General features: G+C 38.8%; 1 protein-coding gene across 2 annotated transcripts, besides 1 other annotated feature; it reads left to right on the top strand.

Annotated features, from left to right (window-relative positions):
• The first annotated feature begins 445 nt into the window (after positions 1–445).
• On the top strand, positions 446–24,944 carry ERP27 (endoplasmic reticulum protein 27). 2 transcript variants are annotated; one of them, NM_152321.4, is made up of 7 exons: positions 446–568; positions 931–1,031; positions 3,990–4,127; positions 17,935–18,051; positions 21,680–21,805; positions 23,297–23,494; positions 24,201–24,944. In NM_152321.4, the coding sequence occupies exons 1-7, from the start codon at positions 475–477 to the stop codon at positions 24,246–24,248; spliced, it is 822 nt and encodes a 273-aa protein (NP_689534.1). In that variant the 5' UTR covers positions 446–474; the 3' UTR covers positions 24,249–24,944. The 2 variants fall into 2 exon arrangements, with proteins under 2 accessions (NP_689534.1, NP_001287713.1); NM_001300784.2 differs by lacking the exons at positions 446–568; positions 931–1,031; positions 3,990–4,127 and adding an exon at positions 9,851–10,038.
• Positions 931–990: an enhancer, noted in NCBI's record as "active region_6059". NCBI's record gives its function as "activates an Ori minimal core promoter by ATAC-STARR-seq in GM12878 lymphoblastoid cells {active_cell/tissue: GM12878}" and the evidence as "EXISTENCE:reporter gene assay evidence [ECO:0000049][PMID:35858748]".
• Positions 24,945–26,110: the final 1,166 nt, after the last annotated feature.

The following is a 26,110-nucleotide window of genomic DNA, read 5'->3' as shown; positions in this document are numbered from 1 at the left end:
ACTCTGCTCCGGCATCCTCCGCAGGAAGAACACTTTCATTGAACCCTAGCATTGTCCCTAATACCCTTAATATGTATTGTCATAGCACCCTATGAATTTTTCTATATCACTTTCCATCTTATATTTAAATAATCTTTTTACTTGCCCATCTCTCCCACTGATAATCTAAGCTGGCAGAGGCTGGATCAGATCATAATTATCTTTCTATTCTTAGCGCTAGGATCAATGCCTGGCATAGCATATTTACATTTTTTATTTAAATAAACTGACCTGACTTTCTTCTGGTTGGATATGTTCTGAGTCCCTATTACTAACCTTGGTCTTTTATCTCAGAAGTTGAAGGCTCCCCTGGAGCCAGCTGCAAAGTTCCCAAAGCCCTAACAACCCCACAGCCAATCAGCTACAGAGTAGGCTGCCCTGAGTCGGCCTCCCCAACACAAAGTCCAGGGTTGGAGCAGGAGCAGGAGAGGGACAATGGAAGCTGCCCCGTCCAGGTTCATGTTCCTCTTATTTCTCCTCACGTGTGAGCTGGCTGCAGAAGTTGCTGCAGAAGTTGAGAAATCCTCAGGTAAAAGAAAAATGTAGTTGGGTGGCTATAGTGTGAAAGTGTTATTAGGAGAAGGAAAGGGAGCATGGTGGTTCTCTGGGTACTTTTCCTCCACACCTAGAAAGCTTTCCAGGAAATCCTGGATAAGTGCATTTTGCCTGGTAGAGAGTAGGGAAGTCTGGCAGTATCCTTCAGAGACAGACCATCAGTAGGGTCACCTTCCATATGTTAGTAAAAATATTATGCCTTGGAATGCCAACAGTACTCCTATAAATTGTGCTCTTCTTGCCCTTAGTATAGAGATAAAAGGTATAGATGCCCTCATTATTTAGAGCTGCTTCTTCTTGCCTCAGTACCCTGACATCTTCTGCTTCTCTCTCTAGATGGTCCTGGTGCTGCCCAGGAACCCACGTGGCTCACAGATGTCCCAGCTGCCATGGAATTCATTGCTGCCACTGAGGTGGCTGTCATAGGCTTCTTCCAGGTTAGTTCCCTACTTGCAATTCCCCCAAGAGCCAGAAATGTTCTACCTTAAGGGAACCACAGCAGCCACCTGCTGCTGGCAGATGGCACTGCATTAGAAGTGGGGGTAAAGGGAGACAGCCACCCAGTTTGATTTCATCTTGTCCATTGGGACCTCTTATTTTCAAGACATTCCCAGTCTCTAAATTATATCTTTCTCATACTTACTTCAAGAGTTCTGAGCCTGTGGGCTGCATCTCCTCATCTATGGATGCTTTGAAGCTCAAGTCAGTATCTGCAGAAAGAATGCCTTCATGGAACCCCACCATTGTCCTAAACACATTTGGTCTATACTCTCATAGCACCCTATGAATAGGCAGGGGCCAGAGTGAACCCAATTTATATCATCCAGCAACACTGTTTACAGGATGCCAAACATCCTGGACATTAGTCAGTGCACAGCCTTTTAAAGCCTTTCCCCCAAATATGGTAGACTCTCCTTCTTTCTCTTTGCCTTGTCTGAAATGTTGGAAAATGATGGCATTTTGTATATTCAAGGTGTTAACCTCCATCTTCCAGATTAGCTTCTTGACTAAGAAAGGCAGCCATAAATGAGACTGCCTCATTCCAGCATTTTCATCTTTCTCTGGTGGTAGCATCTGGAAATCCTCACAGCTGATCAAGCCCCTACTCTCTCATAGCAGACCTTCTTGTCTGTTTCCATTTCTCAGTTACAACTCCTGATTACCCTGTCAGTTCTGCGTACACAGTTGGAAATCACTGCAATGAGATGCAAGTCAGGGAGAAAGACAGGGACAACATTTTTCAGGAATGAGAAATCTGAGCTGTAGACAAAAACACCGTCAGAAAGATGGGGAAGGGGCAAGAGCATGGAATTGGAGGAGTGTGCAATAACTTAAACAGCCGCCAGATGCCATCATTTTATCCTCCAGCAATTCCATCTGAAGGAGCAGAATAAGAGAGGAGGCCTCAATTAATTATTGTTCATGGCCTCTAGAAGAGTAGATACCAGCTCCCTCTGCTTGACCCCAGATGCAAGACGGGTATGTTAGTTTCTTCTCATGCTGCCAATAAAGACATACCCAAAACTGGATAATTTATAAAGGAAAGAGTTTTAATTGAATCACAGTTCAGCATAGCTTGGAAGGCCTGAGGAAATTTACAATCATGGCAGAAGGAACCTCTTCACAGGATGGCAGGAGAGAGAATGAGCACAAGCAGGGGAATGCCAGACGCTTAAAAAACCATCAGATCTTGTGACTCATGCACTATCACGAGAACAGCATGGGGGAAACTGCCCCCATGATCCCATTACTGCCACCTGGTCCCACCCTTGACATGTGGGGATTATGGGGATTACATTTAAAGATGAGATTTTAGGTAAGGACACAGCCAAACCATATCAACTGGCCATCTTCTTTTCTCCTTGCACATCTCCTCCTTCAGCCTGGGGACTTGCAGGGTAGAACATGTTTGTTCCTGTTAATTTCCTGGAGCTGCTATGGATAAAGGTCCCGTGAGAGCAGGGAAAATGATGCCAGCGTCTATGGAAGGCCTGGAATCACTGTTCGCAAGTGGCTTCTCTGCTGCCTCCTGCAGGCCTGGGCTGCAGAGTTGAATGCGTGAACAGCATCTTCATGTGCAAAGCTCAGGTTTATCTACAGTGGCAAGAGAGGGACTGTCCTTCCATAACCTGCATAAACTTTTGTTAAAACTTCTAAGCTTTCATTTTAATTGTTTTATTTTTCTTCTTTTTTTCTTTTTTGGCCCTTTTGATGGCGTCTATTTCATATTTTTGCATTTTTTCCTTTCATCCACAAATGTAACCAAAGCCAAAACTCAAGAGGAAGAGCCGGTGGGAGGAAAAGCCAGTTTATTTGAAGATCCAGTAAACCAAGAAGACAGCGGACTAGCATCCTAAAGTACATCTTGGCCGGGCACAGTGACTCACACCTGTAATTCTAGCACTTTGGGAGCCTGAGGGAGGTGGATTGCCTGAGCTCAGGAGTTCAAGGCTGGCCTGGGCAACATGGCAAAACCACATCTCTACTAAAAATACAGAAAAAATTAGCCAAGTATGGTGGTGAACACCTGTAGTCCCAGCTACTCAGGAGGCTGTGGCACAAGTATCCGTGAGGCAGAGGTTGCAGTGACCCAAAATTTTGCCACTGCACTCTAGCCTGGGTGACAGAGCAAGACTCTGTGTCAAAATAAATAAACAAAGTACATCTTAAGCCACTACCAATTTTAGGTTCTTTGTATGTTAAGGGCAGGGTGAAGAGGAGGGAGTTGGGATCAAGTGATAACCGGCAACCACAGGCATCTGGGCCCCAGCAAGTGTCTCAGGAAGTTGGGAACTTCTTTGTCCTTGGTCAGGTCACAAGGCACCTATAAATCTGTAGCACTACATAGTTAGTTGTTTACATACTTTTCCTTTAATCCCAGAGTTAGTTTTAAAAACTATATAACTCCTATTTTTGCCTATTATCTCAGTGCTCTAAAATTATTCTAACCTACATGCAGGAATGAGTAAATAAATGCCCTTTAAACAAAAATAGAGTTGGTTATGTTAGTTTGTTTGCTATTTCACCGTTAAACAAATTGTTCCCAGAAGAGTTGCTTCTCATGTGTATCTACAACAGTGCAGCCAAACTAGGCAGGCCTTTATGATTTTGAGGCCTCTCTCAGCCCCTAGTAAACTTCAAGCTCTATGACAAGGCCTGACAGGAGTCTCAGGCTCAGCTACAATTTCGTGGTTACCTATTAACTTACAGAGCCTGGAAAATTCAAGAATGTCACTGCCAGTTAAACCTGAATTGTTAGGGGTAAATCATGTGTTACTGGGCAGTAAATCAAATCTATGATTTCTGGTAAACATCATATCATATTTCTTTTGCCTATCGTTTGTCTCTGCCCTTCGAAATAACCACTGTGGTATTATTTTTTCTCTTGTTTTTAGGATTTAGAAATACCAGCAGTGCCCATACTCCATAGCATGGTGCAAAAATTCCCAGGCGTGTCATTTGGGATCAGCACTGATTCTGAGGTTCTGACACACTACAACATCACTGGGAACACCATCTGCCTCTTTCGCCTGGTAAGTTGGGTGGGTAGCTTGAGCTTTCTCCCAGATTTTCACTGGGTTGTGGACTCATAAACTTGTGAGACTGGAAAGGACTCTATGTCTTTTACACTAATGATGGTACCAAATTCAGGGACATTGTTGACAAGGATGATGACTCAATTCAAGCTTCCCAAACAGGTACTGTAATGAAATGGAAAGAGGACAGGACTGAAAGCCAGGGAATGGAATTTGTGGTACTGCTTTGTCGCTCAACAGCCACATGACTTTGGGCAGTCACTTAACATTTTTTATCTCCAATTCTTTCCTTTATAAAATAAAAGAGTTAGACTGTATTATCTCTAAGGTCACTTTGAGCTCCAAAATTTTTATATTAAATATTTTGAGGAGTTCATTTATGTTCTTCAAACATTTATTAAATACTTCCTGTATGCCCTATGCAAGATACCGATAATAAAAACATATTAAATATATTCTCCAGTCTCATAGATCTTTAAGTATGGTAGGTATTGTATATATAATATGCAAGTATCTATAATAAAAAGAGAATCACTATGGGTAAAGTTTTATCACAGTTCAAAGGATAGAAACAGTGTGGGAATTCTGAAAAAAAAGAAAAGAAAAAGACAACAGAATTGAAACTTGAAGGATAGATAAGTTTAGACAAGCTAAAGAATTCATGGCCAACGGGAAAAAACTCAGGAAACAATAAACAGGCCAATCTCACTGGATCCCAGGGTACACATTGGGGAAAATGAATATAAGAGAAAGAAACTTGATTAAAATCGTATTGTGGGGAAAAAGTAGAATACCACTTTAATGAGTTTGTCCTGAATTTGGCTGTTACTGGAAAGCCCCTAAAGCCTTTACATCAGGGGAGTAACATGAACAGAAATGTGTTTTATTAGATTATTTTGACAGCAAGGTGGAGGATGGATTTTTAGGTTAAAAGGCAAGAGAAGAGGGAGCTTTTGTTAGGCTGACAAAATAGACCATGTGAGAAGTATTAAGAGTCTGTAGTAGAGAGGTAGCAACAGAAATTAAAGAAGAGGAAGATCCTGTGATCATTAGATATCACAGTTATGGAAAGCAGGCAAAGCTTAAAGCCAGGGTGTCTAAGAATAGTGAGGTCATGTGCAGAAATAGGGGTTTCTGATGCTTTCATTGGTCATTGAGTTCTACTTGTTGGTGGAATATCAAGAGTCCACTGAAAAAGAGTAAATTGATGGAAAAGAAAAAGTTTTCAGTATTTCGGGACTGAATGTCGTGCCCCTTCTAGTTTCCATCCTTTCTTTCCCTTTCTTTTCTCATTGAAACTTCTTTAAGTGTATTTTGTACTGTCTTTCTCTAAACTAGACACTACTATCTAGTTTATGCCCCCATCACACCATTAAAACTACATTTATCCAGGTCTGCATGGCTTCCATATTGCCAAACTCAATGAACCCTTTTTAGGTCTTATTTTACTCAACATTTCTGTCATGTATGATGTTAGTGATGACTTCTTTCTTTTTAATGTTCTCTCTTTCCTTGAATTCTAGGAAACTACTTCTCCTGATCCTCCTGCTGCTTTTATAATCTCTTTGAGACCTTCTCTTCCTGTATCTACAATGCTGCCTGACCCAACACTTTTTACAGTCTGGGTCATGGAACCCATGCTATGTGAAGGCAAAGACTGTTCTGTTCAGTGTATCCACAGAGCCTAGAACAGTGCCTGCTGTGCAGTAGGTGCTCACTAAGTATTTGTTTAGAATGAATATATGAAGAATCAATGAATGAATGAATGAATGAATGAATATGTTCTTCTTAAGAAGTACAATTCTTTTGCATATTCCACTATTATGTGCTTGCGGAACATTTAGAATATTTTATCCCTAGTCTGGACTTCTCTCATGATTCAAATGTTTGCTGGGTATATACCCTCATAAGCACTATACTCTTAAAATGTTCAAAACTGAATTTATTGTCTGCACCTGCTAATCATATTCCTCCATCTAAGATACTATTTTATTAAGTGGCTATGCTCATTTGGTCTTACATTTTTGCCAGTTGTATCTTCTATCTTGAATCTATATTCTCCTCCACTCCTTCTACCTCATTCTGTATTTAGGCTCTTAGCCTAAGCATAAGCAATTTCATTAGCTTCTGAACAGATCTCCTTTTACTACTTTATATACAGTTTCTAAAATGGTATCACAATGATGTATTTAAGATAGAAATTTGGCCATAGCACTCTTCTCTTTAAAACTCTTCAACATTTCTCATTTCTTAAAAATCAAAAATGAGATATTTAATGTTACAAATAGGCTTTGCTGGCCTGCCCCACTGCCTGCTTCTCTAGTCCTTTTTCCATCCAGCTTCCACCCTGGGCTTTATCCTCTCAGTAGCCAACTATACACATAATGATCATCCAATTCCATGATTTTGCCTAGACTATTCCTTCTGTCTAGAATGCCACCACCCGCCAAGGGTCCCCTTTCACCTAGCCTCACCCAGATGACTCCTTCTCATACTCCAGTGAATCAGTTCAGGAATGTTACCCTTCAGGAAATATCTCTGGAATCTCCAAATGGGCCTAAGCATTCCTCTATATGTAACTCCTTATCTCTATTTTCATATACCATTTTATAATTCATATCATATATTTACGTATCTGTCTCCTCTATTACCCTCTTAGGCCATGACCTATTCAAGGCTGGAAACGATGACTTATTCATCTTTGTATTCAAAGGGCTATAATACACCTCTGGCACCTTAAAGGCACTCGGAGGGTGCTTGGGGAACTAAACTCACCTCCAAAAGCATGTCTGAAGTTGTGTGAGCTCCCTTCAGCAACCCCTTTCCCACCTGCACAGTGGTTGCTGGTTTGCATTCTCACCAGTGTGAAATAAGATTAAATCAAATTCTTCTGTGAAAAGCTTTGATGAGGAATATATGGAAGGTTAGGCAAATGCCTTTCGTGTTGCCATTGAACCACTGGTAGAAATCCTTCAATACAAAAATTCTAATAAGCTACACTCCACACCTACTTCTTTCTCAGTTTTTCGTTTGTCGGTCTTATAAGGCCTGATTTAAAAGGCTTAGTACCACCAAGATACGCACATGGGGAAGAAAAACAAGTGCCGTTGCTTCCAACATCTCTACAGGTTTAACATCCTCTAACAGGAGCACTGGCGTTGCTTACAATTTATTCCTCATAAAGCTTCACTGATGACTTCTCAGTTTTTCAGTCTTCTTTAACATCTGTTTTTTGTTTACCGCTAGTGACGGACCTAGTCTAAATGAACTCTTGGGACCTCTGTGGGCAAGATTATTTATGTGCCATACCAGAAAACAAACAAAATGGTTCCTGCCCTACTTCACTGGCAGAGCTGGAAGAAGCTCAACTTTTGTCATGCCAGCTTTCAGATAAATATTTTTTTCACAGTTTACACTTTCAAAACTTTAGTACATATTTTAATAGGACCATTATTCAAGAGTTTGGAGCACTTTTTTTTTTTTTTTTTTGAAAAGGGAACATCAACCAAGACTATCCTATTTTACACTGGGAAACGTGAACCTATTGAAAATTTTCTGGATCCAGTTTGTTCGGTTTGCTTGTTTGTTTTCAGAGCCTAATCTATGATAGGCACTATTACAATATTTGACCATTTAATTCACACAAGAATCTGATGAAGTAATTTTTATTATTCCTGCATTTTTAATAAAGAAATTTCCATGAGAGAATGGTTTAGTTGCCCAAAATCTCACAACTGTGAAGTAACAGATGTCTGATTCGTACCCAGCATTGCTGTCTACAAATCATACCCTTTTTACTATATTATAGTGGCTTTCTTAAGCACTTGACCCTGAAGATAAACTTTGTTTTTACACTGAATTCTATCTAATGTCCCTCATTCTAAAGCCTACTTTTTTTCTTTCAACTATTTTCTCTTAATTTATTCCTCTAGCCTCCTAGCATTCCTTAATCAAACTGCAGAATTATTTATCAAGATTTAATCTAGACATTATATATTGTCTAAATTTACAAAATTTTCCATTTTAAGAACATATTTAGAAATAAGCTGAAATAATGATTAACTGAAAAAATAACAATAAATGGATATTACTCATGCTTGAAATGTTGGAGCAATAAAAGGCCAGCCAGTGCTGTATTTATGCAACATAATATTCTCCAAAAATAGTGCAGGCCAACTATATAAATGTAATCAGGAAGAATTTAGGTAAAATTCATGAAACCATAAGTTGCATATAACAGTCTTGCTGTGTGAGGGCACAGCCTGTCTTTTGTGAGTGTAACAGCATATAAACTCTCAAATTTTTCAACAGGACTCTTATTGTTGCCCTAGCAGAGATGTAACTCCCAGGTTAAATAAACTATGAGCCTGTCCTAAAATGGAATTTGAAATATTATTTGAATGTTTACCCTGCTTTGGATTTTTTCAGTCACTACTATTTAAAGAAACATAATTAACCTAACTTTGACCTAATGGGATAGTAATGAAAACACAGTGCAGTCATCCTTTATTCCTTTTACAGTTATTTATTGGGTAACTATTATAAGAAATTTACCTCACCAGACAAAGAGAATCAGAAGAAACTCGTGCATGAGAATAAACTGATAAGAAATGCAAGAAGATATGTCAGATTATAAAACATTTTTTATTTTATTCTATTTTATTTTATTTCATTTTACTTTAAGTTCCAGGATACATGTGCATAACATGAAGGTTTGTTATATCGTGTACGTGTGCCATGGTGGTTTGCTGCACCTATCTACCCGTCACCTAGGTTTTAAGCCCCGCATGCATTAGCTATTTGTCCTGATGCTCTCCCTCCCCCAGCCCCCTATCCCCCTACAGGCCCTGGTGTGTGATGTTCCCCTACCTGTGTCCATGATGAAACTTTTTTTTAAAGTATATATTTATTAAATATATGATAAGCTGAACAGCTTTAAAAAAACAAACCGAGGACGTGAGGACCTTTGTTTAACAAATGATTTCTCAGTGCCACCAAAGACATTTAATACTATAACTGTGGCATAAACTAAGACAATTTTAATACATTTTATAAAAATCTGGGTTGTTAGAAAATTCCATGGGAATTCAAATGAATATAGCTGAAATACTAATGAACAGAAAATGAGTGATTGGTATGATGTAGTGTCTACAACAACAAAAAAAATCTACTTCAGATACTCTTGAGGAAACTCAAAATTATGTTTTAAGGTAGCAATATTTCCAGTTTACTATTTCTGTTTTTCTTCTGCTGCCTCTTTTCTCTGAAATAAAAATATGATATTTTAAGTAAAATTCTTTCCATAAAACTGAAAAAAGACATTTTAAAAGGTTTTTCCAACTCTTGGTTCCTGGGTTGGATTTTCTTTCCAGTGCATTATGCAAATAATTCCCTTTACAGAGGGAGATTTCCTGTTCAAATGTTGCTTCCAGAAACCCTAAACATGAATGTTCCAGAGTTTATTAGTTTAAGAAATAATGAAAGATCGGGCATGTTTTCTTAAAAGAAGTACAACAAACTGGAGAGACTGCAGGAGAGTGGCTTTTATTAAAGCTCTTTTGCTTCTTAGAGAATGTTATCACCACTTAACATCCTCTGCCTCCAATTTAGTGCATTCTTTAAGTCCAGAAACACCCAGAGTAACTGGCTTTTCTTGTTCTCCCTGTTCTGGGAAGTATGAAGGACTGCCCGGAAAAGAGTACAGGGAGGGGGGGATTCTTGATCCATGCACAGCGATGTGAGCTGAGGTGCAGGCACCAGACCTAGGAATTCCTAGAAAAATAGTCAGGAAGCATTTAGACACATCAAATGTTAAACGAGTCCTGATTATGATGATAATGATGATGATTTTGGTGGTTGCAATAGCAAAGCCTTAAGTATGAAGGAGACTTGCCAGCTGGAAATACAGGTCGGTAGCAGCATTAAGTATCTAGAGGAGCTGCAAATATTATTTTTTTGTGTGCTCATTTTATTTCTTTACTCATTCGTCTTGATATGGGCAAGGGAAGGGGAAGGAGGTGGTAGGAGGGTGGGCAAGGATCTACCTAAGACCTTTTCTCTTGCTTTCATGTTTTGTTTTGTTTTTTCCCAAGCTTTCTACTCAAAACTTTGTGAATTTTTAAACAATTAAATATACACAAGGAGTTCATTTTTACCCTGTGGTTTTGATTTGTTTCAAAATTCTTTTTTAGAAATACAAACTTTTCTGTACCTCAACATTTATTTATTTCATAAATTTAAATTGTATAAAGCAGTCCCAAAATAAAGAGTGCTTAAATTGTCATCTGAATGAATGGCTGCAATTTTATGCCTCAGTGCATATAGCAGGCACTCGGCAAATAATTATGAAACAAATGGATTGGAAGAGAATGACTAGATCTATCCAGAATTAAAATTAACCATAAGGGGTGCATTGTGCATCTCCAGAGTTCTTATTGCTTTTAGTTACCCCAATGGGAGACCCTCTTGAAGAAAAGAGGTGAAATAGGAATCATCACCGGGATGACAATAAAGAGCAATCTTAGATTCTTGCTGTTTAGTGACTTTAATTTCCCTTTGCCTGAATTCCCTCCTACCTTAACTAACATGAGATTTGCTTCTGATCTTACTGGGTAGACTAGGAGAAAGTACCTTGGGGAAAAAAGGGTGGTTCTGATCCAAGGCAAGATCTGATTGGGCAGGACCTATACAGATAGCACATGGAGGGGAAAGGGTTAAGGAGATGTCCAAGAGCAGATGGCCTAAGGATCTCAAAAGTGATGCAAACTATTGTAGGAAATGGACAAAATTGTTCAGGAGCTGATACTAATAATTTTATCTATAGGCGTGGATCTATCTATGGATGGTGGAGGCACTATCTTTGTGTCTTTATGGGTATGAGTAGATTGGGGTGAGGAAATAGAAAACTGAGAACAATGATTGGAAGAATGAAGTCCTATCTTTCAATATATCTGAGTGTGGTGGAAAGCTTGTTCTGAAATACAAATCTGGGATAATGGATCATGTAGCTAGACAATCCTTTCCACCAAAGACTATTTTTAAAAGTTAAAATGTGTGTGCATGAATGTGTGTGTAAGTGTGTGTGTGTGTGTGTGTGTGTGTGTGTGTGCCTGAAGGCATTAGAGAGCCAGTAAAAGAGGGAAAATATCTAGGTCAAGATCTGGAAGAAGATGAAAACCAAAAAAGATGAACCCTGCATTGAGGACTGCTTTTTGTCTAGACGGCTTTGGTCAGTTCTAGAAGCAGCCAAGAAGCTAAGAAATAAATTTGCATTTTGAGATCCTCAGGAGTTGAAAATTAAATGTTGGAGTCCAGGCCTCACAAGGGGAAATAGGAGGTGAATCTAGTACAACACCTTTCACATCCCCTTTGAATCCTACAGAGCTGTACCTAAAAACAGGAATGAATCATAGTAGATAAGCCCTCTCAAGGGCTGCAGCACAGATGCAAATCATTTCAGCCCCTGAAATTGAATTAGAGTGATTTTAGATATATATATATATATACACACACACACACATGCACACACGCACACACACACAAATATACACACATACGCCTACACATATGCAAATATATATACATGTGGAATATGCATAATCCACTCTTAGCCATGCCATAGTACATCTAAAACTTAACAAAAGATAAAATGTTAAAAGAAGTCAGAGAAAAGAGAGACTATCATCAAAATACTCTCAAAGGGACAACCATAAGGTTCACAGCTGACTTCTCAATAGCAACAGTGGAATGCAGAATACAAAGCATTATATCTTTCAAATACTGAAAGAAAATCACTGCCAACGTTAGAATTCTACCCCCAGCAAAAACAGCCTTCAAAAATAAAAGGTGAATAAATATATATTAAACAGCCAAACGGGGAGAATTTGTCACTGAACACCTCCATCTCATACTAAGGAAAATAGTAAAAGGTCTTCTCTAAGCAGAGGAAAGAAAACCCACACAGAAGCTAAAAAATACAGGAATAAATAAAGAGAAGCTAAAATGCAAATATGTGCATAAATGTCAGTGTATATTGAAGATATAACAAAAATAATAATATCCTGTGAGATCTGGAACTAATCATGTGTAAGTCTTGAATTAGAGCCAGAAAATTGAATTTAAAAGAGGTAAACTGTATTTGAATATTCTAATGTTTGCATTGTCCAAGAAGAAGCTGAAATTGCCAATTAATATTAGGTTCTGAGAAGTGAAAAAAAATGCATGTTGTATAATGTATTCTGGCAATCCCTGAGAGAATAATTAAAGCCTATGTAACTTCTAAGCCAATAAAGGGAAAGAAGAAAATAATATAAAATACTCAGTCAATTCAAAAGTAGGACAGAAATAAAGAAAAATAGCATTTGGAATACATAGAACCAATGGAAAATGCATAATTAAATACACCAGTAATTTCATTTCGTGGAAATAATCCAATTAAAAGACAAAGATTATCAGGCTGGATTGAAAATTGCAACTATGTGCCTTCTACAAGTGACAAAAGTAAAACACAGGATGGAGCTATACCATGCAAACACTTCCAAAAGAAAGCTGATATGAATATATTAATACCAAACAAAGTAGACTTTTAGGCAACAAGGATTCCTAGAGAGAAAGAATAACAGTTCATAATGACAGTTTCAATTTGCCAGACAGATTTAATAATTCTAAATTTGCATTTATCAAATACATGTACTGATACTATATAAGCAGAAACTGACAAAATTGAATAAAAAGATGGCTAAAGCCACAACATAATAGAAAAATTTAACACCTTTTTTTTTTTTGGAGACAGAGTCTTGCTCTGTTGCCCAGGCTGGAGTGCAGTGGTGCAATCTTTGCTCACTGCAGCCTCTGCCTCCCAGGTTCAAGCGATTCTCCTGCCTCAGCCTCCTGAGTACCTGGGACAACAGGTGCATGCCACCATGCCCGGCTAATTTTTTGTATTTTCAGTAGAGATGGGCTTTCATCATGTTGGCCAGGATGGTCTCGATCTCCTGACCTTGTGGTCTACCCACCTCAGCCTCCCAAAGTGCTGGGATTACAGACGTGAGCCACTGCGCCAGGCCCCAACACTCTTTTAAATAAAATAAGCTGGTTTTAAAAAAAGAAAGATATAGAAAATTTCAACTATAAAATTCACCAAGTGACCTGATAAACATTTATAGAATACTGTATTCAAAAGCTGTAAAATATACTTAATTTTAAAGACACAAATAATACAAATAAAATATAAAAATAAAGCTAGAAATCAATAAGAATATAACCAGAAAATCTTACATTTTAAAATTAAGAAATACACTTCTAAATAACTAATAGTTTAGAGAAGAATTAAGAACAAAAAATTAGGAAACATTTTGAACTGAATGATAAAAATTCTACATATCAAATTTATGAGTGCATTTAGAGCCTTCTAAGGAGGAAATGTATAGATTTCTATGTATTTTTTGCTACTTACAAATTTAAAATTGGCCAGATAATAGGATTTTATATCTTGGAAACATAAAAACATGGAATGACCCTTAATTTATGATATAACTGAACCCCATCACTTACCCAAAGTTAGCCTTTGGGTCAGGGGGTTTCCTCACTATAGTTCCTTCCATGGTTTCCAGAAAGATGTTAGTGAAAAGGGGTCCTGATCCAGACCTCAAGAGAGGGTTATTGGATCTTGCGAAAGAAAGAATTCAGGGTGAGTCCACAGAGTAAAGTGAAAGCAAGTTTATTAAGAAAGTAAAGGAATGAAAGAATGGCTACACCACAGGCAGAACAGCCCCAAGGGCTGCTGGTTGTCCATTTTTTTGGTTATTTCTTGATTATATGCACTAAGCGGTGGATTATCCATGCCTCACCTTTTCAGACCATATAGGGTAACTTCCTGACATTGCCATGGCAGTTGTAAACTGTCATGGGGCTGGTGGGAAGGTAACAGGGACGACGACCAGAGGTCATGCTCCTCACCATCTTGATTTTGGTGGGTTTTGGCCAGCTTCTTCACTGCAACCTGTTTTATCAGCAAGGTCTTTATGACCTGTATCTTGTGCCAACCTGCTATTTCATCCTGTGACTTAGACTGCCTTAACCATCTTGGAATGCAGCCCAGTAGGTCTCAGCTCATTTTTCCTATCCCCTATTCAAGATGGAGTTGCTCTGGCTCAAACATCTCTGACAGCGATAGGCTCATTCTGGGGAGAAAAGGAGCACATAGGTCAAGTCAGGGGTTGCTTTCTACATTTTTTTAATTAAAAACTGGAAAACCACAATAAGATATCACCTCACCCCAATTAGAATGGCTATCATCAAAAAGACAAAAAATAACAAACGCTGGTGTGGATGTGGAGAAAGTATTTTTATACACTGTTAATGGGTATGTAAATTAGTATAGCCATTATGGAAAACAGTATGAACATTCCTCAAAAATTTAAAAATAGAACTACCATATGAACCAGCACTTTCACTATTGGATATACATCCAAAGGAAATGAAATCAATAGTATGTCGAGGAGATATCTGCACTCCCATGTTCATTGCAGCACTATTCACAATAACCAAGAAATGGAATCAACTTACGTGTCCATGAGCAGATGAATGGAGAAAGAAATTGCAGTACATATATACAATGGACACTATTCAGCCATAAAAAAGAGTGAAGTTCTGTCATGTGTAGGAGCACAGATAGACCCAGAGGACATTATGTTAAGTGAAATAAGCCTTGTACAGAAAGACAAATACCACATGATCTCATTCATACAAGCAATCTAAAAAATGGATCTATAGAAGTAGAGAGCACAATACTGGTTATGGAAAGCTGGGGAGCGGAGGGGGAAGTGGTGATGGAAGAGGGAAGAGGGAAGTGGGGACAGGGAGAAATTGGTTAATAAGTTCAAAGTTACAGTTAGATGAAAGGAATAAGTTTAGGTATTCTATTGCACAGTAGGGTGAGTATAGTCAACAATATTGTATTGTAATTTAATAATAGCTACAAGAAAGGATTTTTTAATGTTCTCATCACAAAGAATATTTGAAGCAACGGATATGCTAAATACTATGATTTGATTATTTACACAATGTATACATGTATTGAAACATCACACTATACCCCATAAATATGTACAAAACTGAATAGTAGGTTAAAAGTAAAATATAATAAAATAGGAAAAAGACTTCAAACACTAAGAAAAGTTTTCACCAATCAATTTGTCAATAACAATAATAGCAGTAAAACTAATGGCATGGCAGTATTATTTGCAATATAGTTGGTTCTGTTTTTCTGTTTCTCTGTTCACCAGAAAAAGAGAACCAACAGGAGATAGGTAATATAGATAGATAGATAGATAGATAGATAGATAGATAGATAGATAGATTGATTATAGATAGATAGATATTATATAGTAAAAATTACATTTTTACATTGTATTATTTTTATAACACAAATTATATATATAGTGGTAAATATTATATATATGAATATACATATTAAGAGATTTTTTTAATAAGATAATGGCTCATACAAATATGAAGGCTGAAAAGTCTCACCATCTACTGCCTGTGAGCTGGAGACCTAGATGAGCCAGCGTTTTAGTTTGAAGGCCTGAGGGCCGAAGCACCAATGGTGTAGATTCCAGTCTGAGTCTGAAGGCCTGAGAACCAGAAACACCCAGGACAGTAGAAGACCAATGCCCCAATTAATGCAAGCAATCAGAAAGAAGGAGACTTTAATATTCACTTTAGAGAAGAGTAATACAAAAATCAAGGATCTTAGCATTTTTTTTTTTTTTTTTTTGAGACAGAGTTCCACTCTGCCACCCAGGCCGGAGTGCAATGGCACGTTCTCGGCTCACTGCAACCTCCCCTCCACCTTCTGGGTTCAAGTGATTCTCCTGCCTTAGCCTCCAGAGTAGCTGGCATTACAGGCGTGCACCACCAGCTAATTTTTGTACTTTTAGTAGAGACAGGGTTTCACCATGTTGGCCGGCTAGTCTTGAACTCCTGACCTCAGGTGATCCGCTGGCCTCGGCCTCTCAAAGTGCTGGGATTACAGGCGTGAGCCACCGCACCTGGCCTACCTTAGCGTCCATTTTAAGAAGTAAGAAAAATGAGTTCCAAGTGGATTTTAGATCTATTGTGAAAGACAATGTTTCTAGGAGAAAATATAGGAGAATATCTTCATGACCTTGGTGTAGTCAAAGATTTCTTAAAACAAAACAAAAAAGTACACATTAGCGATAAAGATGATAACTTTAACTATGTTTAAATTACCTTCTTTCATGTGCAGTCACCATTAAAGGAGAAGCCCTAGTAAGAAAATATATATATTATAGAACCAACAAAGGACTCATATCCAGAATGTATAAAAACACGTTCAAATCAGAGAAAAAGATAGACAAAAGAAAAATAGGCAAGCAACATGAATAAACACTTCATAAAGAGGATAATTATCTTTAATTGTCCTCATATCCTTAAATTATTATTAAGTGGTTAATGAGAGAAATGCAATTAAAACCACTGAGACATAACCATATCCACCAAAATCAGTAAAATTAGAAAAACTGACAATAGCAAGTGTTGACAAGGATGTGGAGCAATGGGACCTGTCATACACAGTACTGGTATGTGTAAATTATCCACTTTGGAAGATAGCTTGGCATTTTCTACTAGTTAACTATATACATATCCTATAATCAAAAATCCCAATCTGAGGTATATGCTCAGTGGATACAGAGGCATATATGTACTAAAAGTCAAGAAGTGTTCATTATGGCATTGTCTTAATGACTAGAAACAACCAATGTTCATCAGTAGTAAAATGAATAAATAAATTGTGTTTATTCAGACAATTGAATATTATACAGCAAGGAAGATGAACAAACTACAGCTACATGCAATAACATAAATGACTTATAATCAAAATGTTAAGCCAAAGAAGTTTGTTTACATGTATTTAATGTGAAAAATGAGGTAAAACTAAACTATAGCATTAAAAGAAGCATCTTTAAGTTATAAAGGTATAAAGGAAAGGATGAAAATGGTCAACATAAAAGTCAGCATACCTTTGGCAAAAAAAAAAGGATGAATTATAAACTAGAAGGAAGCACCAGGACTTCAGGGGTTCTAGCAATATTCTATTTCTTGACTTGGGTGGTGGTTCTACAATAGTTTTCTCTGTGATAATTTGCTGAGCTTTACAGCAAATGTTTATACTGTGTTATATTTTTCTCTACATGTGTTTTATTTCACAGTAAAAGGGTACATAAATATAATACAAATCTGACCTTGCCAATGACCCCCCTTGCCCTCAGATAGAATTTAATCTACATGCCTTGGCTTCAGAACACTTCCAAATTTGCTCTTCCTTATCCCTCTAAGCTGATCTCTCTGCAACCCTCACATCACATCTGGTAGGGTCACAGTGAACTAACAGCAGCTTCCAGAACGCAACCTCTCACATCTCACAGTATTTTCATATGCTGTTCTCTATTTAAAGCTCCTTCCTCATCCTCATTTATCTGATCAAGTCTTAGCCACTTTTCAGGAGTAACTTCTTCCTTGAAGCTTTTCTGCTCTTCCATAGGTGACATGCGGGCCTGTGATTCTCCTGTGATGACACCTGCCACATCATGTGGGAAATTTCTCTTCACTTTTTTGGAGTCTACAGGACAGTTTGTCCCCCTAGGGCAGAGAAACTCTCTTACTTATCTTTTGGTCTTCAGAGCTTTAATCAGTGCCTGTCACATGGGGGTCTAAAGACGTTTATCAATACATGAAAAAAAGATGGAATAGTGACTTCATTCTTTTTTGTGTTATCCAGGTAGACAATGAACAACTGAATTTAGAGGACGAAGACATTGAAAGCATTGATGCCACCAAATTGAGCCGTTTCATTGAGATCAACAGCCTCCACATGGTGACAGAGTACAACCCTGTGGTAAACAATACTTCCTGTTCTTAGTCCCTTCAGACCCTGAGTCGGGGAAGGTACTGGTCTTCATAACAGAGGTCTCTTCCTCCCAGAGTTCCAATTCTTCGACCAATACAATACTGTATTGTTTATGTTACTATCCTTCCTACACCTTTTTAAGATTTAACTTGTTCCTGTTAGACAAAAAAACAGAGAAAAGTTAAATGAACTATCACACTGCTAGTAAGAAAGAGAACCAGAATGCACAGTTAAGGTGACTAACTCAAGGCCAGGTGCAGTGGCTCACAAATGTAATCCCAGCACTGTGGGAGGCCAAAGCATGAGGATCACTCGTGTCCAGGAGTTTGAGACCAGCCTGGGCAACATAGCGAGACCTTGTCTCTACCAAAAACTTTTAAAATTAGCCAGGTATGATGGTGTGTGCCTAAAATAAAATAAGAATAAATGAAAGACAAACAAAAAAATTTTAAATGAAGCTCACTGATCACATATTTGGATGTCACAGGAATGTAAAGTTTCTGTAATTGTTTCTAAACAACCATTTCATTTTCTGTATGTACCTCCTTGCAGACCAGTAACAAACAGTTCCTGGTCTGGCAGCAGCTGCAAACCATGCTTTGACTAGCAAGTGCCTACACCCTCACCATGCCTCAGCCTTCTCTCCTGGTGTGTCTTCCTCTGGTGTTGCATGCTGCATGCAATCTGAGTAAAGGTGGTGCTCCACCTGTCCTGATCACCAAATGGACTTCTAACACTTTCTATAGACTATAACAGTCTACAGAATTATCTTATGTGTCCCATCCTTTATTTTCCCTGACATAGATTACAGAACCTTACAGGGTATTAATTTCTAGTGATCTACATCAGCTCAAAATGCTGTACCTTCTATTCTCCAATACCAGTTCTTTACATGCATGGTATGATTTTTGAGAACTTACAGAGCCCTTTCATCCTCATTTTTTCATTCAATCCTCATATTGATTTTTTTTGAGGTAGAAGAGAGGAAATTATTGTGTCCATTTTATAGAGGAGAACATTCAAGATCCAACTGATAACATTATTCAAAGTCACATCATGAGTAAATAGAAAAGGCATAATTTAAGGGACAAAATGTAACTGATGCATTAGCACATTTTGCCAACTTCCATTTTACAGTAGAGTAAATGGGAGTTCAGAAAATTTAAGTAACTTCTTCAAAGCCCTATGGCTAGTAATTCAAGCTTCAGAGACAGCCTATGTAGTTGCCCTTGCTTTTTTATGACTGGTGCCTGTGACTGAATCCTGTGGTTGTCTATTGCCCTACACTGCCTTCAACAGGAAACACCCCTTTTCTTGTGGACTAAAATCTGGCCTACCTCTCACACCATCTTTATCTCTGTGGAGTTGGTGACTCTATTTCCACTTCTGCTAAGGCTCCAAACACATATGCCCCTGGGGTATTGGCAGTAATAATCAAAAAGGTGTTCTTCTGCATGTGGGGCCAGAAAAGATGATCTTATGGTCCCTGGGCTATGGCCTCCGTGTTGTGGCATTTTGCAAGCTAGCTAAGGCAGGGGCATGCACTAACCTTCCTGGTTTCTTATGCCTGATCTGTCTCTCATTTCGCAGAGCAATGACGTATCTTTTTTAAGTTCCATATTATTAGTGAAGGCAGATTATATCAAGAGAAAATTCAGTAAGAATTTCTTTAAAGAAGCAAGTTCAATCTGTATTGTTACTTTTTTTATTTCCTGAAAGTAATATTTTTCTCATTTGGAGAACTGCCCATTCTACTATAGCTGTTTCTCATCTGCTTCTGGTGCAAAGGTTTGCACCAGTAGCAACTGGGCAGAAAATCCCAGCCATGCACCTGACCTGCCACGCACTTTTAATGCACACACTCAGTACTTGGCGTCAAGGTGTCTGTTAGGATTAAATGAATCCATTCGGCTATGGTCAATCCCTTCTGCCAAGATAACTGTACCTTTTGACATCTTAGCTTTTATTTCTTTACTCTTCCCAGGAATTATCCTCCATCTCAGTGTTAGAATAGTGAATGAATGCTCTAAATTTAAGTAGCAGGATTTAGTAAAACAAGAGTAAATCATGTGTCATCCAATCTCCCAAATGAAAAATCTAAAACTTGATTTTAAACTCCACGGAGAAATCTTTAGGAAAGGACCTACTGGGCCCTCCTTGCCTACATATTGTAGGCAGCCAAAAGAGCTGGAGAATCTTTACAAACTTGTGTAAAAAATCAGGAAGAATTCTACCTAGCTGTGCCCTTCCCCATCCTCCTAAGACTCTGACCAAAGATTTGTTAACCCACCATGTTCTCTCTCTTCCTGTGTACACACTAGTTTTGTAGCAATGCTTTCTGAATTTAGGAGAGGTGAAAAGAGATGAGATTGGTTTGAAGTAGACTCGCAGCATTATTTCAGGACAGTGAAATGAAGGGAACCAGTGCCATGGATTCCCCTCTTTTTCTTCTCCTCTGTCTGACTGGTGGCTGTTCCACTCCTCTAAGTCATTGACAACTTCATGGAAAAATCACCATCTCTAATCAGCAAAACAAGGTCAATGCTTCTGGTCTCCTGAAGAGCTCACCTTCTGCTGACCTTTGGTACATTGGTTCAACCACATTTGAGATCGAGTTTGTTTATATGGGGTTTTGCTATCCACTGTGCATGAGGCAGTCCATCCTGATGATCAAGAGCATGGACTCTGGAGCTAGACCACCTGGTGTGAATCCCTGTCTGCCATTTATTTGACTCTTGGAGAATTAGTCTATCTATGCCTCAATTTCCTCATTTGAAAAACTGGGACCTTGAAGATTAAATTACTTATTCTTTGTTAAGAGTTGGAGACAGTGCCTTCCACGTAATGAACACTCAATAAGTACGAACTACTAATATGTACTCAAACAAAGACTACATTTTAAGTGTCTCTGACTAGTCTTGCAACAAGAGAGGGGGCTGAAATAAAGTGACTAATATGTTACATAGTGTATTAGTTGTCTATTGCTGCAAAACAGATTACTCCAAATCTTAGGAGTTTCAAATAAAAAACATTGATAATCTCATGCAGTTTCTGCAGGTCATCCAATTTGGGGTGGCTAGGGCTAGGTGCTTCTGGTTTGAGGTCTCTTGGGAGGTTGCAGTCATTGGTCAGGGCTGCAGTCATCTGAAGGCTCAACTGGAGCTGGGGATCTGCTTCCAAGATGGCTCCCTCACATGAATAGCAAGTCAATGCTGGCTGTTAGTAGAAGGACTTAGTTCCTGGCCATGCGTTTCTCCTCAGAGGACTGCTTGAGTGCCCTACACTGGGGCTGGTATTCCTCAGAGTGAGAGATAGAGAGAAGAGCAGAAACCATAATGTCTTTTAAGACTTCACCTTGGAAGTCACACTCCATCATTTCTGCAACATTGTCTTGGTTACTCAGTTCTGCCCCATTCAGGGTGGGAAGGAAGGATCTACACAGTTGCATGAAAACGAGATGGTAAGACTTAACTGAGAGCCATCTTGGAAGCTAGTTCCATTTGTGTTACCAGTGGCCAGCTCTCATTTAAGTTTCAATCTACCTATTCACTCCTTCCCAGGTACTAATGCATTCTTTCTCGCTTTCACTCTACTGTAACACATTTCGACTTGCCAGACTGTGATTGGGTTATTCAACAGCGTAATTCAGATTCATCTCCTCCTGATAATGAACAAGGCCTCCCCAGAGTATGAAGAGAACATGCACAGATACCAGAAGGCAGCCAAGCTCTTCCAGGGGAAGGTAAGGCAAGAATGGGAATATCCTATTGCATACACACCTCCAGGACACTAGGAAAAGGGAGATGGGGCTAGGAAGCAGAGATAAATAAGGAAAACAACTATGGTTAGGAGATAGCAAAGCAAGAAGTAGGACATAATAAATCACATTATTTGAAATTAGAGATGTTGTATTTTATCATATTAAAGGCATATGTAATTATATCTTCCTGTAGTGATTAAGTGTGGGTTTTTTCCTGCATTGATTAGTAGAGAGAAAATAGAGATCCAAAGAGACTGAAAGCAAAATCACCTCTAAGTCACCATTTGTTTAATCCTTCCCATAATTTCATAGAGATTTAGACCTCAGGGCTCATTTCTCATATAAAACACCTATCAAGTACCTGGTGCCTGCTCAATATACAATGAATATTTCTTTCTTTCCCTCCCCTCCTTTGTGGAGTTCTGCTTGATATTACTGAAATAGTAAAACTTCAACTACTTCAAGGCTACTGTGCCTAACTAGTGACTGTTCTAATGATGAGAACTGTCTGGTAATAAAATAAGCGCCTTTCTGATGGTTGGTTCTCTAACACTGAAAGTATTTAGTGTTACTGAAAGTAGACAATCATCTGATCAGAATATTATAAAGAAGATTTCTACTTTGGGTTGAAGGTTTGATTTAATAATATAAAATAATCTACATTTATCAAGCACTTACTATAGGCCAAAAGCTGAATAAAAATATTAATGCGTTACCTCATTTAATTTCCCCCACCAAAAGCCCATTTTGCCAATGAGAAAACTGAGTCTCGGAGAGGCTGAGTAATGTGCCCAAACTCACGTAACTAGAGAGTACCAGAGGCAGAATTTAAAACGTGCTCTCTGCTCCTAACCATTAGGCTATACTTCCTTTCTTAGGTAATCACTAAAGTAATTTCCAATTCTATGTTCTTAAAATTAAATCAATCTCGTCAAAGGGATAAAACATCAAAGCAACACAAAATAATAGGAAATTCATTTTTTTTAACTTTTAAGTTCAGGGGTACATGTGAAGGCTTATTACGTAGTTGAACTTGTGTTATGGGACTTCGTTGTACAGATGATTTCATCACCCACACATTAAGCCCAGCACCAAATTGTGATCTTTTCTGCTCCTCCCCCTCCTCCCACCCTCCACCCCCCAAGTAGACCACAGTGTCTGTTGTTCCCTTCTTTGTGTTCAGGAGTTCTCATCATTTAGCTCCCACTTAGAAGTGGGAACATGTGATATTTGGTTTTCTCTTCCTGTGTTAGTTTGCTAAGGATAATAGCCTCCAGCCCCATCCACGTTCCCACAAAAGACATGATTTTGTTCTTTGTTACAGCTGCAATAATTTATTTTAACTCAAGATTTCAATTTCATGGTGCAGACCATAAATTCAATCAGTGTGAGCTGCAACAATTACAAGGTATCTCTTTATCCCTGGACGTCACCTCAGATAGAACTTTTTCTTTCAAACTTCCCCAACTGCAGATTCTCTTTATTCTGGTGGACAGTGGTATGAAAGAAAATGGGAAGGTGATATCATTTTTCAAACTAAAGGAGTCTCAACTGCCAGCTTTGGCAATTTACCAGACTCTAGATGACGAGTGGGATACACTGCCCACAGCAGAAGTTTCCGTAGAGCATGTGCAAAACTTTTGTGATGGATTCCTAAGTGGAAAATTGTTGGTAAGTGTGAGACTGCAGGTAAAGCAAATTGTTTTCTTTCTATGTCCCTTTTATTTCCAGTTGAATAAGAATTCTTTGGGCTCAGAGAGGGAGGAGAGCAAAATGTTGGTTAATGGATACCAAGTGCAGATAGATAGGAGGAATGTCTAGTGTTCTGTAGCACTACAGGGTGGCTGTCATTAAGAACAATGTATTATATATTTTCAAATAGCTAGAAGAGTAGATTTTGAATGTTTCCAACACAAAGAAATGATAAATGTTTGAAGCAATGGATATGCTAATTGTCCTGATTTGATCATTACAAGCTGTATACATGTATAGAATATCACTCTGTACCCCATAAAAACGTAACTATTATGTGTCAATTAAAAACAAAGATAAAAGCAAAAAAATTAAAGTTAAAAAAATTATTTGGGCTCTACTAGATTTGATTAAAAGCAAAAGTCTATGAGGATATGGTGGCCGGAGTCAGGATGCTTGTTAGGATATATCGTGAGACTCAAACTAGAAAAGCATGTTTGGAAAGGCCTTGCATATTCAGAGGCTGAATTTTGGATTTCAGCATTTAGTGTAAAGCATTAATGGGCAACAAATCAAACTTCATATAACAGGGTTCATGAGATAAAAATTAAAGAAGGATTTAGGACTTCCAGGAGTAAACAGCTCAGTTTACTAATCTAAATATCATTGTTATAATGTTTTCCAGAAAGAAAATCGTGAATCAGAAGGAAAGACTCCAAAGGTGGAACTCTGACTTCTCCTTGGAACTACATATGGCCAAGTATCTACTTTATGCAAAGTAAAAAGGCACAACTCAAATCTCAGAGACACTAAACAACAGGATCACTAGGCCTGCCAACCACACACACACGCACGTGCACACACGCACGCACGCGTGCACACACACACGCACACACACACACACACACAGAGCTTCATTTCCTGTCTTAAAATCTCGTTTTCTCTTCTTCCTTCTTTTAAATTTCATATCCTCACTCCCTATCCAATTTCCTTCTTATCGTGCATTCATACTCTGTAAGCCCATCTGTAACACACCTAGATCAAGGCTTTAAGAGACTCACTGTGATGCCTCTATGAAAGAGAGGCATTCCTAGAGAAAGATTGTTCCAATTTGTCATTTAATATCAAGTTTGTATACTGCACATGACTTACACACAACATAGTTCCTGCTCTTTTAAGGTTACCTAAGGGTTGAAACTCTACCTTCTTTCATAAGCACATGTCCGTCTCTGACTCAGGATCAAAAACCAAAGGATGGTTTTAAACACCTTTGTGAAATTGTCTTTTTGCCAGAAGTTAAAGGCTGTCTCCAAGTCCCTGAACTCAGCAGAAATAGACCATGTGAAAACTCCATGCTTGGTTAGCATCTCCAACTCCCTATGTAAATCAACAACCTGCATAATAAATAAAAGGCAATCATGTTATAGGAGAAAGGCTGGCATCTCTTTGCAGGCCAAACCTTTTGTAAATACCCAGCTGCCCAACTAAGCAGCATGTTCCTCCCTCTGCAGTGCCCACTGTTTAGTGTCAGACCATAAGCCACTAACATGTTATTGTTCACTCTGTGGGTGGGATGGGTGGAAAATAGAGACCATCCTGCATGAGGATTGGAACAAATGTGGCAACTGAGCTAGGAAGCAAATTAGGTGAAAGGTTGGGGAGCAGATAGGAGAAGCAGGGCACTGGCAGTGGGACGGGCTGAGGCTGACTAAGCCTTGGATTATTGCAGGTAAGGTGTGTGATCCAGCTCCTGTGTGGTGAAAGGAGAGCTTGGCTGAGTGACTCTGGCCCATAGGCTGTTACTATCAACACACAGATGCTGCATTGTTCCCAGGAGGCCCTTGGCTCAGGAGGAAAGTGCCTAAGTGCTGAAGAGCTGAAAAACCACAGATGTACCTAAGGACTGGTCCAAGTGAGGAACAGGGAGTGAAAGGCTCAGTTGTTCTTTCTGTGGGGAAAACTCCACAGCCCCTGGGCGGGAGTCAGCTGCTGGCAACCACACTGTGAAAGCCCCAGTGTAAGGCGTGCCCTTCAGCAACGAGACCAAGGTATTCTGTGGAGGTCACACAGTCCAACCCAGGGCTGCAGAAAACCACCCAAACAGCTTCTCGCTTGAGGCTGAAAAATATTCCTAAGATAGGCACATCCCAGAAGGCTCCTTTGGATCCTGTAAACGAGAGCTCTTGACATTTACGGTCAGGAAATTCTTCCTGATATCCAGCTGAGGTCCTCTGGCCATGGAAGCTATTTCTTCTTGCCCACCCTTTGTGGAAATTCTTAACAGCTTCCAGATGCCCTCCTCAAACCATGCCTTTAACCACTTGCTGGCTGCACTGAAGCCCCTTTATCTAGCCATCTTTCCCCCATACTCACAATCTAACTCTCATCATTTGGTTTTTATCATTTGATTTACTTCATTGTTTTTCTCGCCTCATTCTTTCCCAACTTTTCCTCTTTCTTGCTTAAAATAGTTGGAACCCAAACTATAGTAGGACCCATGAGCTACATTTTGTTTGATATTGTGCTAATTTTTCAATTATTTTTCTTGAAGTGTTCCCCTCAAAAACAATAATCAAAATGGACCACATGGGTCTT

Source organism: Homo sapiens, chromosome 12 (genome assembly GCF_000001405.40).
Source record: "Homo sapiens chromosome 12, GRCh38.p14 Primary Assembly".
Lineage (NCBI taxonomy): Eukaryota > Metazoa > Chordata > Mammalia > Primates > Hominidae > Homo > Homo sapiens.
The sequence above is the reverse complement of the archived record's forward strand: the minus strand, read 5'-3'. Positions and strand labels throughout refer to the sequence as shown.

What these genes read in the sequence shown, in the direction of transcription:
- ERP27 (NM_152321.4), top strand. Translation starts at nt 475, where the DNA reads ATGGAAGCTGCCCCGTCCAGGTTCATGTTCCTCTTATTTCTCCTCACG. An exon ending in CCATCTGCCTCTTTCGCCTG is followed by an intron (nt 4,128 to 17,934) that starts GTAAGTTGGGTG and finishes TGTGTTATCCAG; the next exon opens with GTAGACAATGAACAACTGAA. An exon ending in CCAAGCTCTTCCAGGGGAAG is followed by an intron (nt 21,806 to 23,296) that starts GTAAGGCAAGAA and finishes CCCCAACTGCAG; the next exon opens with ATTCTCTTTATTCTGGTGGA.